The sequence below is a fragment of the Homo sapiens genome, chromosome 5 (assembly GCF_000001405.40).
Source record: "Homo sapiens chromosome 5, GRCh38.p14 Primary Assembly".
NCBI lineage: Eukaryota > Metazoa > Chordata > Mammalia > Primates > Hominidae > Homo > Homo sapiens.
In genome coordinates, this window is record NC_000005.10 from 110976121 (window position 1) to 110989682 (window position 13562).

General features: G+C 38.9%; 1 pseudogene; it reads right to left on the reverse strand.

Annotated features, from left to right (window-relative positions):
• On the reverse strand, nt 6659-8335 carry LOC100131280 (integrin alpha FG-GAP repeat containing 2 pseudogene; annotated as a pseudogene).

Genomic DNA, 13562 nt, shown 5'->3' on the forward strand with positions numbered 1-13562 from the left:
CTCTTCTCACAGCTCCACAAGGCAGTGCCCCACTAGGGATTCTGTGTGTGGGCTCCAACCCCACATTTCCCGTCTGCATTGCCCTCGCAGAGGTTCTCCATGAGGGCCCCACCCCTGCAGCAAACTTCTTCCTGGGCATCCAGGCATTTCCATACATCTTCTGAAATCTAGGTGGAGGTTCCCAAACCCAATTCTTGACTTCTGTGCACTTGCAGGCTCAACACCACATGGAAGCTGCCAAGTCTTGGGGCTTGCACCCTCTGAAGCCATGGCCTGAGTCTACATTGGCCCCTTTTAGCCATGGTTAGAGCAGCTGGGACTCAGAGCACCAAGTCCCTAGACTGCACACAGCCCAGGGATGCCGGTCCTGGCCCATGAAACCACTTTTTCCTCCTAAGCCTCTATGCCTGTGATGGGAGCAGCTGCTGTAAAGACCTCTGACATGCCTTGGAGACATTTTCCCCATTGTCTTGAGGATTAATATTCAGCTTCTCATTACGTGGATTTCTGCAGCCAGCTTGAATTTCTCCTCAGAAAATGGGATTTTCTTTTCTATCACATTGTCAGGCTGCAAATTTTCTGAACTTTTATACTCTGCTTCCCTTATAAAACTGAATGCCTTTAACAGCACCCAAATCATCTCTTGAATGTTTTGCTGCTTAGAAATTTCTTCCAGCAAGATATTCTAAATCATCCCTTTCAAGCTCAAAGTTTCACAAATCTCTAGGTTGGGGGCACAATGCCACCAGTCTCTTTGCTAAAACATAACAAGAGTCACTGTTGCTCCAGTTTCCACCAAGTTCCTCATTTTTATCTGAGACCCCTTAAGCCTGGACCTTATTGTCCATATCGCTATCAGCATTTTGGGAAAAGCCATTCAAGAAGTCTTTAGGAAGTTTCAAACTTTGCCACATTTTTTGTCTTCTTCTGAGCCCTCCAAACTGTTCCAACTTCTGCCTGTTACCCAGATCCAAAGTCGCTTCCATAATTTTGGGGTATCTTTTCAGCAGCACTCCACTCCTGGTACCAATTTACTGTATTAGTCCATTTTTGTGCTGCTGATAAAGACATACTCAAGACTGGGCAATTTACGTAAGAAAGAGGTTTAATGGACTTACAGTTCCACATGTCTGGTGAGGTCTCACAATCACGGCAGAAGGCAAAAAGGAGCAAGTCATGTCTAACATGGATGGCAGCATACAAAAAGAGAGAGCTTGTGCTGGGAAACTCCTGTTTTTAAAACCACCAGATCTTGTGAGACTTATTCACTATCACGAGAACAGCATGGGAAAAACCCACCCCCATGATTCAATTACCTCCCACTGGATTCCTGCCCCCCCATAACATCTGATAATTCAAGATGAGATTTGGGTGGGACACAGCCAAACCATATCACTGGGATGGTTTGAGTTTGAAATGCCTATCTTAACCTCTCTGTTGCCGATCACTACATTTTTACCACCTACCATGTCCCATTATTACCACCTCCCTTAACCCACAGAGACATAAGGGAAAGGGGGCCAAATAGAAAATAGAAAACAAGAAGAAGAGCTAGTGTAAGACTATTTGTAGTCCCTAAAAATAAAGGAGATACCTTTAAGACTTAAGAAAAATAGGATGGGAGGGGAGGCAAGGCAATGAGGTGGAAGTGGAAGAAGAGGGAAAAAAAGAGTTAAGACAGGAAATAAATCAGCAGGAAAAATGGAGAAAAGAAATAGAGGAAAAAGGAAAGAAAGTAGAAGACTGAGAATATTGGTAAGAGGAGGCTGATAAATGGAAAGGAAAAATGAAAGGAAAGGGAGGTAGAGAAGGAGAAGATACTTTAGCAATCTCTAATGCAAAACTTTAGCAAGAACATAAATGCAGAATTCCACTGGTGTCTCTGTGGGAACAAGAGTAGTGAGAAATGTGAGTTAATAAGGTTATGTTTGTCACAGGTCTATTCTTAGAAATTGTACTCCAATATGTATATTTCAGTTTATAATCTTAGTCATCCGCTTGAAGAGACAAAATAAACCACAGCACATTTATAGCAAACTGTTCTGTCCTGAGCACCATGAAAAAGAATTGTTGTCCACAGTAACCATGAAAACCAAAATGAAAAAAAAAGTATAGTTTTTATTACATTATTGGGTGTACAACTCCTGAATCTTAGTCTGAAATCCAATGAAACCCACTGGACTGTAGTAAAATAAGAACAACAAAGACATAGGGACATTTTTATTAAGTTAAATGTATACCAATTGAAGTAAGGTCCATAGTTTTCAGAATGTGCCCTTTCTATATTTTTTTTGCCAATTGATAAATAAAATTTTTATATCTTATTGTGCACAACATGATGTTTTGTAATATGTATACATTGTGGAATGTCTGGATTGAGCTCAATAATTAAAAATAGAATTACCATATGACCCAGAAATCTCACTCCTGGGTACATATCTAAGGAAATGAAATCAGTATATTGAAGAAATAACTGTACTCTCGTGTGCATTGCAGCATTATTCACAATAGCCAAGATATGGAATCAACCTAAGTTTCTATCAACAAATGGATGGATAAAGAAAATGTGATACACACATACACACAGAAATACTACTCATCCTAAAAGGAAAAGGAAATCCTGTCATTTGCAACAATATGGATAAACCCAGAGAACATTTCAGTCATTCTCTTTCACAACTGTAATAAAATCCACACTGCCATGGTTTATAAGACCCTTCTTCATCTGGATCCCATACTCTCTCCCATTATTTACTGTACTGGCACTTGTTCCTTGGGCCCAAGAAGGACTTTAGATCCTAGTTCTCTCCACCCAACAAGCATGCCCTCGCTCAAGGATCTCTTCCATAGAGTTGCATTACTGACCCCTCACATAATGTATACCCTTAACCTCAAATACATCAAATCTCATTATCCTATTTTATTTTCTTTAAAGCTTTATCACTATCTGGAAGTATTTTGTTCATTTATGTAGTTTCCTTGTTAATCCTCAGCATCCCTCAGTAGAATATAAAATCTATGAGGCAATGACCACTATTCTTAAATTCGATAACAATGTTTGACCCATAATAAGAATGGAAGATATATTGATTAAATGAATAAATGAGTGAAAAAATTAACTATAACCAAAAACAAACATTTAGTAATAATTATTTAATTATTCATTGTAAAGTAATGAATGTACATGGAATTAAAATTTTAAACATCATAGAAGCCATTAAATTTAAAGTAAAATTGAAATAAATAATTAAAGTTAATTTCTCTCTCCCCATGCTTTGCTCCTGGTCCCTTTCTTACAGGTGGATTTTTAAAAATGTTTTCCCTTTTTGGTTTTTATTACCTCCATTAATCTAAATAATATCCTTATAACTGTATGTTTTGAGTTTTAAATTTTCCTGGGTGATTACTAAACTTTATTAGAGATTATTTACCTGATTTAAATCTGGGAACAATTTGTCCCAGTGTTTGGGGTTTAGGGGGTAACACATGGACGGTTCTTTAATCAATTCCCTCATTTCCTATTTCTCCTCCCACATCTGTTATCCTGCTCTCATTATTTGCTGTTTTGTGCTGGTGTTTCTCTGGAAGGAAAAACATTCTCACTTCTGTTTCAGTCATTCCTTCTGTGAGCTCTGGGGTACAGCTCCCTGTGCTTTAGTTTATTCACCACTACCAAACCATCTACTTTTTATCTTCCTGAAATGTGCCAAACTCTTTGACCCACTGATGTCCCCTAATATAATTCTCATCACTTTTTCTTTATAGTAATTTCAATGTGCTTCAAAAGGAAAAAAAAGTTTATGTTTTGTCTACCATAATTAATGAAAAGTTATCACATAGCAAACATTTACCAATAGCACTTATTGATGAAATTCATTTCCCAAGTAATTCTTATGCACAAGGAACACATCCAAATTCAAGAAACAAATAAGAAAAATTCAAAAAAAATCCACACCAAGACATATTAAAATTGGCATATGGATACCAAAACATTAAAATTGGCAACAATCAAGACAAAGTTTTGAAAGTAGCAAAAGTAAAACAACTTGTCACATACTAGGGCAGCACCATAAACCTCCCATGGATTTCTCAGCAAAACATTGCTGGCCAGAAAAATGTGGGACTTAAATGCTGAAATAAAGGAAAAAAAATAACCTGACAACCAAGAATATTATAGCTGGAAAAACCGTCTTTCAAAAGTGAAGCAGAAATAAAGATTTTCCCAGACAAGTAAAAGCTGAGGAAGTTCATCATCACTAGATCCACCTTAAAAGAAATGCTAAAGGGAGTTCTTCCAGTTAACATGAAAGGATGTCAAATGGATATATGAAAGTATGTAAAAGTATAAAACTTACTGAAAGAAGCAGATATAAAGAAAAATACAGAATACTGTAATATCATAATGATGGTGGGTAAATCACTTTTAATTCTAGTATAAAAGTTAAAAGACAAAAGTATTAAAAATCACAATAAATAAAAATATGTTAAAAGAAACAATATGAATACAGGTAACTTGTGACAATAATAACAAAGTATATGTATGAAGGAGAGAAGTTAAAGTAGAGAGTTTTATATGTGATTGAAGTTGAGTTGTTTACAGTTTAAAATAGATTGTTATAACAATAAGTTGTTTTATGTAAGCCTGGTGGTAACCACGAAGAAAACATCTACATAAACGAGAAAGAAATCAAAGCATATCAATACCAAAAACTCAATGTAACATAAAGGAAGACAGCAAGAGAAGAAAAGGTACAAAAGAATCACAAAACAGAAAACTATTAACAGAATGGCAACAGTAAGTTGTTCTCTAACACTCACTTGAAATGTTAATGGAATGACCTCTTCAATCAAAAGACACAGAGTAACTGACTGGGTAGACAAAAAGATTCAACTATATGCTGTGCTCAACAGATTCACCTGAGATTTTAGGAGACACATAGGCTAAAATTGAAAAGATAAAAATATGTGTGTGTGCGTGCACATGTGTGTGTATATGTATATACGTATATATACATATATATATATATACACATACACATCCTATGCAAATAATGACCAAAAGAAAGCATGGTGGCTATACTTATATCAAACAAAATAGACTTTAAGTCAAAAACTGTCTCAAGATAGAGGAAAACATAGAATGATAAAAGGGTCAACTCACCGGGAAGATATCACAATTATGTGTGTGCATATATATATATATATATGCACTAAACATCAGAGCACCTAAATATGTAAAGCAAACATGAACAGAAATAAAAGGGAAAACACAGAAACACAATAATAATAGGAGACTTCAGTACTCCACTTTCAATAATGGGTAGAAGAGTTAGACAATCAATAAGGACACAGGTGGACTTGAACAACATGTTAGACTAAATGGGCCTAATAGACATATACAGAACATTCCATGCAACAGCAATTGAACATTCTTGCCAAGTGTACATGCAATTTTCTCCAGGATAGATCATGTTAGGTAACAAAACCAATCTTAACAGACTTACGAAGAGTCAAATCATGCTGAGTTTCTTTACTGATCATGATAGAGTGAGACTAGAAATTAATAGCAGAAGGGAAACTGGAAAATCTATGAATATGTGGAAAGTTAAAACATACTCTTGAATAACCAATGGTTCAAAGAATAAATAAAAAATCAAATTTAAAATATATTGAGACAAATTAAAACAATAACACAACATACCAAAACGTATAGGATGCAGCAAAAGCAGTACTAAGAGGACATTTATAGCAATAAACATCTATATTAAAAAGAAGAAAGATTTCAAATAAATTACCTAACTTTATACCTCAAAGAACTAGAAAAACAAAATAAGCCCAAAGGTAGGAGGAGAGAAATAATAAAGATTAAAGCAGAAATAAATAAAACAGAGAATAGAAAAATAGAAAATAGCAACAAAATAAGATTTGATTTTTTAAAAGATAAGCAAAATTGACAAATCTTTAGTTAGATTAAGAGAGGGATTCCAACAAATAAAATCATAAATGAAAGTGGAGATACTATAACAGATGTCTCAGAAATAAAAATGACCATAAGTGACTATTATGAACAATTATATGCCAACAAATTGGATAACCTAGAAGAAATGCATAAATTATGATAAACATATAACCTATCAAGACTGAATAATACATAAATAGAAAATCTGAACAGATCTATAAATAGTAAGTAAATTGAATTAGTAGCCAAAATCTTTCTAATAAAAACAAAGCCCAGGACCAGATGACTTCAAGTGTTGAATTCTATCAAACTTCTAAAAACTTAACATTAATCCTTCTCAATTCTTCCTAAAAATCAAAGAACACAAAACACTTTCAAACTTATTTTATGAGATCAGCACTACCCTGATACTAAAGCCAGGCAAAAAAAAATGATATTTAAAAAAGAAAACCACAGGTTAATATGTCTGGTTAACATAGATGAAAAAAAATCCTCCACAAAATACTAGCAAACCAAATTCAACAACATATTAAAGGTATACCCCATGACCAAGTAACATTTATTTCTTGGATGCAAGGATAGTTTACCATATGCATATCAATAAATGTGATATACCACATTAACCAAATGAAGGGCAAAAACACATGATCATTTCAACAAATGCAGAAAAAACATTTGACAAATTTCTTTTTTTTTTTTAATGGCCCAAGATATAATTCTGATTGTGGTCTGGATCATAAGTCTGCATCACATTTTAAATGTATATTGTCTTACAGACAACAAGGTATTTTATGGGGGAATGGGTGGGTGGAAAAATGGGAACAGGGCTTCTGAAGCTAATACCTGAAGAATATGGCAACATGAGAAAGCACTGACCCAGGTGCTTTGGTAAATGGAGGAAAATCATCTCACGCTTGTTAGGAACATGGGTAAGACCAGATTGTAGATTGCACTGAAAGACCCCTCAAAACAAAACAATTTGCCATTCCTTTAACAATTACTAATATTAAGAACTTGGAATTGTGCCATAAAAGACAGAGCTTAAGATGGGGTGGAGCCCTTACCTCCACTGCTCCCCTGGGCCTAAAGCCTGGTTTCCTTATGGGTATTGGGGCCACGCAAACAAGTCTCTGTTTTCTACACAGTGAAAGTGGGGAGTGGGACATGTCCCAGATGATCTGGAACAAGGCCAGGGTCCTATGACCTTGCTGGTGTGATGGGTGAGGTCCATAAGAAAATGGGCAAAGGGTCAACTTGTCCCTTCTTTCACCAAAAAGACCATGAGGTGTATAGCTTGTGGTCACCCTAGGGCTGCTGCCATCTTTCATGCCCAGAGTCAAATCCTGCACTTCTGTAATGTGTATTCCCCATCCTGCCAATATCAAAGATAGCTTGAGGAGGTAGGGTAGGGGTTCAGAAGAATCCTTCACCAGCTGTGAGGCAAGTACAGCTAGGTGGGATCCTGGAGGCTTGAGGGAACACACTGTGGTGGTTGGTCGGATGGTAGAGTGTTTGGTGAAGCAGGGCATGAGCCACAGGGAGGTTGTCAGGATCCATGCCCAGCTCCTGCAGCAGGCTATGGTACTCAGGCTTGGTCTCCAGTCATTCAGCAGATTGGTAGACTCCATCCACTCCAACTGCACCTCCCAGTACACATAGATCTTCTGGTTGAAAGTGACATATACGAGGCAGGAGCTGTTGCATCCCTGGGCAGGCATACAGGCCTGCATAGAAGGCACGGATATTTTCATCCACTTAGAAGCGGACGACGGTGTGATTGTGATCAATAATATATGTCTGTCCATCGCAGGCACATGGAACTACCTCCTCATGCCCATTGCCGTTGACATCCCAATTTCTCCAGGGCGAAGAGCTGGTGATCCACCTGCGCTGACCACAACAGCTTGTCTGCTTCCTCCATGAGCTTCAGCATCCCATCCAGTGTGCTCACGGCAAAGATGCCAGAGCCACTACTCTCAGTGCCATGGCCTTGTTTGTTGTTGCCAGTTAGGTGAGTGGAGATATTCTTGTTGTGGATATGGCCAGATGTCTGGTGCAGTACCACATCTCGGGCAGCTAGGGTCTCCCTACTGCCATCCATGACCCCTTCAGAGGCAGGAGGGGACCCTGTGTCCTTTTTCCACATACACGTTAGAATTGCATAAGCACAGCCTGGCTAAGACACCATCAGTTCAGGAACACCCAGCGGCCCCAGAGTCACTGAGAGGCTGTCCACCTGACCCTCCAGCAACCACTTCTTGAGGGACACCAGCTGCCCAGTCAGATGTTCAGGACCCTCACCTAGCTCCTCCCAGCAAAAAGCTCACACCACACAGTCTGTGTAGCCCACCACCACTCACAACACCCATCTCCGTCTGTGGGCGTGAAAGACACAAATTTCAACACTTTTTCATGATAAAAACTCTCAACAAAACAAGAAGATAAGAAAATAACCTCTTTATAGCAGCATGATTTATAGTCCTTTGGGTATATACCCAGTAATGGGATGGCTGGATTAAGAAAATGTGGCATATATACGCCATGGAATACTATGCAGCCATAAAAAATGATGAGTTCATGTCCTTTGTAGGGACATGGATGAAATTGGAAATCATCATTCTCAGTAAACTATCGAAAGAACAAAAAACCAAACACCACATATTCTCACTCATAGGTGGGAATTGAACAATGAGAACACATGGACACAGGAAGGGGAACATCACACTCTGGGGACTGTTGTGGGGTGGGGGGAGGGATAGCATTGGGAGATACACCTAATGCTAGATGACGAGTTAGTGGGTGCAGCGCACCAGCACGGCACATGCATACATATGTAACTAACCTGCACATTGTGTACATGTACCCTAAAACTTGAAGTATAAAAAAAAAGAAAAAGAAAAAGAAAATAACCTCAACACGATACAGATCATATATGAAAAAATGCAGTTAATATTTTTCACAATGGTGAAAAGTTGAAAGCTTTCCCTCTAGGATCAGGAATAAGACCAGGATGCCTACTCTTGTGACATAGTACTGAAAGTCCTAGCCAGAGCAATTAGGGATGACAAAGAAACAAAAAGTCTCCAAATCAGAAAGGAAGCAATAAAATTAACTCTGTTTGCACGTGGCATGATCTTATCTGTATAAAACTCTAAAGATTTAACATACACACTCAAAATATAAAAAGCATAGAACTAGAAATCAAAGTCAAAAATGTTGGATCATACAAGATCAACATATAAAAATCAGTGATATTTCTATACATAAACAATTAAGAAAACAACCCCATTTACAATGACATAAAACATAAACTACTAAGAAATAAACTTACTTAAGGAGCTGAAATACTTATACATTAAAGACAATGAAATATGGATAAAAGAAATTAAAACACACACAAACAAAAATACGTCCCGTGTTTATTGACTGCAAAATTCAACATTGTTAAAATATCCGTATTACCCAAAATGATTTACAGATTCAGTGCAATCCCTATTGAAATCTCATTGGCAGTTTTTTTCAGAAACAGAAAAAAACAATTCAAAAATTAATATGAAACCACAAAAGACCCAAATTGCCAAAATGGTCTTGAGAAAAGAACAAAGCTAGAGGCATAACATTTTCTGATTTCAAAATGAATTATAAAACTAAAGTAACATCAGAGGAGCCAAGATGGCCGAATAGGCACAGCTCCGGTCTACAGCTCCCAGCATGAGCGACACAGAAGATGGGTGATTTCTACATTTCCATCTGAGGTATCGGGTTCATCTCACTAGACAGTGGGCGCAGGTCAGTGGGTGCGTGCACCGTGCGTGCATGAGCTGAAGCAGGGCGAGGCATTGCCTCACTCAGGAAGCGCAGGGGGTCAGGGAGTTCCCATTCCTAGTCAAAGAAAGGGGTGACAGACGGCACCTGGAAGATTTGGTCACTCCCACCCGAATACTGCGCTTTTCCGACGGGCTTAAAAAACGGCGCACCAGGAGATTGTGTCCCGCACCTGGCTCGGAGGGTCCTAAGCCCACGGAGGCTGATTGCTAGCACAGCAGTCTGGGATCAAACTGCAAGCCGGCAGCTAGGCTGGGGGAGGGGCGCCCGCCATTGCCCAGGCTTGCTTAGGTAAACAAAGCAGCCAGGAAGCTCGAACTGGGTGGAGCGCACCACAGCTCAAGGAGGCCTGCCTGCCTCTGTAGGATCCATCTCTGGGGGCAGGGCACAGACAAACAAAAAGACAGCAGTAACCTCTGCAGACTTAAGTGTCCCTGTCTGACAGCTTTGAAGAGACCAGTGGTTCTCCCAGCACGCAGCTGTAGATCTGAGAAAGGGCAGACTGCCTCCTCAAGTGGGTCCCTGACCCCTGACCCCCGAGCAGCCTAACTGGGAGGTACCCCCTAGCAGGGGCAGACTGACACCTCACATGCCCAGGTACTCCAACAGACCTGCAGCTGAGGGTCCTGTCTGTTAGAAGGAAAACTAACAAACAGGAAGGACATCCACACCAAAAACCCATCTGTACATCACCATCATCAAAGACCAAAAGTAGATAAAACCACAAAGATGGGGGAAAAACAGAGCAGAAAAACTGGAAACTCTAAAAAGCAGAGTGCCTCTCCTCCTCCAAAGGAACGCAGCTCCTCACCAGCAACGGAACAAAGCTGGACGGAGAATGACTTTGATGAGCTGAGAGAAGAAGGCTTCAGATGATAGAATTACTCCGAGCTACAGGAGGACATTCAAACCAAAGGCAAAGAAGTTGAAAACTTTGAAAAAAATTTAGAAGAATATATAACTAGAATAACCAATACAGAGAAGTGCTTAAAGGAGCTGATGGAGCTGAAAACCAAGGCTCGACAACTACGTGAAGAATGCAGAAGCCTCAGCAGACAATGCGATCAACTGGAAGAAAGGGTATCAGTAATGGAAGATGAAATGAATGAAATGAAGCAAGAAGGGAAGTTTAGAGATAAAAGAATAAAAAGAAATGAGCAAAGCCTCCAAGAAATATGGGACTATGTGAAAAGACCAAATCTACGTCTCATTGGTGTACCTGAAAGTGACATGGAGAATGGAACCAAGTTGGAAAACACTCTGCAGGATATTATCCAGGAGAACTTCCCCAATCTAGCAAGGCAGGCCAACATTCAGATTCAAGAAATACAGAGAATGCCACAAAGATAATCCTCAAGAAGAGCAACTCGAAGACACATAATTGTCAGATTCACCAAAGTTGAAATGAAGGAAAAAATGTTAAGGGCAGCCAGAGAGAAAGGTCGGGTTACCCTCAAAGGGAAGCCCATCAGACTTACAGCTGATCTCTCCGCAGAAACTCTACAAGCCAGAAGAGAGTGGGGGCCAATATTCAACATTCTTAAAGAAAAGAATTTTCAACCCAGAATTTCATATCCAGCCAAACTAAGCTTCATAAGTGAAGGAGAAATAAAATACTTTACAGAGAAGCAAATGCTCAGAGATTTTGTCACCACCAGGCCTGCCCTAAAAGAGCTCCTGAAGGAAGCACTAAACATGGAAAGGAACAACCAGTACCAGCCACTGCAAAATCATGCCAAAATGTAACAATCATCGAGACGTGGAAGAAACTGCATCAACTAATGAGCAAAATAACCAGGTAACATCATAAAGACAGGAAAAACTTCACACATAACAATATTAACTATAAATGTAAATGGACTAAATGCTCCAATTAAAAGACACAGACTGGCAAATTGGATAGAGCCAAGACCCATCAGTGTGCTGTATTCAGGAAACCCGTCTCACATGCAGAGACACACATAGGCTCAAAATAAAGGGATGGAGGAAGATCTACCAAGCAAATGGAAAACAAAAAAAGGCAGGGGTTGCAATCCTAGTCTCTGATAAAACACACTTTAAACCAACAAAGATCAAAAGAGACAAACAAGGCCATTACATAATGGTAAAGGGATCAATTCAACAAGAAGAGCTAACTATCCTAAATATATATGTACCCAATACAGGAGCACCCAGATTCATAAAGCAAGTCCTGAGTGACCTACAAAGAGACTTAGACTCCCACACATTAATAATGGGAGACTTTAACACCCCACTGTCAACATTAGACAGATCAACAAGACAGAAAGTCAACAAGGATACCCAGGAATTGAACTCAGCTCTGCACCAAGCAGACCTAATAGACATCTACAGTACTCTCCACCCCAAATCAACAGAATATACATTTTTTTCAGCACCACACCACACCTATTCCAAAATTTACCACATACTTGGAAGTAAAGCTCTCCTCAGCAAATGTAAAAGAACAGAAATTATAACAAACTATCTCTCAGACCACAGTGCAATCAAACTAGAACTCAGGATTAAGAATCTCACTCAAAACCGCTCAACTACATGGAAACTGAACAACCTGCTCCTGAATGACTACTGGGTACATAACGAAATGAAGGCAGAAATAAAGATGTTCTTAGGAACCAACGAGAACAAAGACACAACATACCAGAATCTCTGGGACACATTCAAAGCAGAGTGCAGAGGGAAATTTATAGCACTACATGCCCACAAGAGAAAGTAGGAAAGATCCAAAATTGACACCCTAACATCACAATTAAAAGAACTAGAGAAGCAAGAGCAAACACATTCAAAAGCTAGCAGAAGGCAAGAAATAACTAAAATCAGAGCAGAACTGAAGGAAACAGAAACACAAAAAACCCTTCAAAAAATCAATGAATCCAGGAGCTGGTTTTTTGAAAGGATCAACAAAATTGATAGACCACTAGCAAGACTAATAAAGAAAAAAAGAAGAATCAAATAGACGCGATAAAAAATGATAAAGGGGATATCACGACCAATCCCACAGAAATACAAACTACCATCAGAGAATACTACAAACACCTCTATGCAAATAAACTAGAAAATCTAGAAGAAATGGATAAATTCCTCGACACATACACTCTCCCAAGACTAAACCAGGAAGAAGTTGAATCTCTGAATAGACCAATAACAGGAGCTGAAATTGTGGCAATAATCAATAGCTTACCAACCAAAAAGAGTCCAGGACCAGATGGATTCACAGCCAAATTCTACCAGAGGTACAAGGAGGAACTGGTACCATTTCTTCTGAAACTATGCCAATCAACAGAAAAAGAGGGAATCCTCCCTAACTCATTTTATGAGACCAGCATCATCCTGATACCAAAGCCGGGCAGAGACACAATGAAAAAAGAGAATTTTAGACCAATATCCTTGATGAACATTCATGCAAAAATCCTCAATAAAATACTGGCAAATCGAATCCAGCAGCACATCAAAAAGCTTATCCACCATGATCAAGTGGGCTTCATCCCTGGGATGCAAGGCTGGTTCAATATATGCAAATCAATAAATGTAATCCAGCATATAAACAGAACCAAAGACAAAAGCCACATGATTATCTCCATAGATGCAGAAAAGGCCTTTGACAAAATTAAACAACACTTCATGCTAAAAACTGTCAATAAATTAGGTATTGATGGGATGTATTTCAAAATAATAAGAGCTATCTATGACAAACCCACAGACAATATCATACTGAATGGGCAAAAACTGGAAGCATTCCCTTTGAAAACTGGCACAAGAC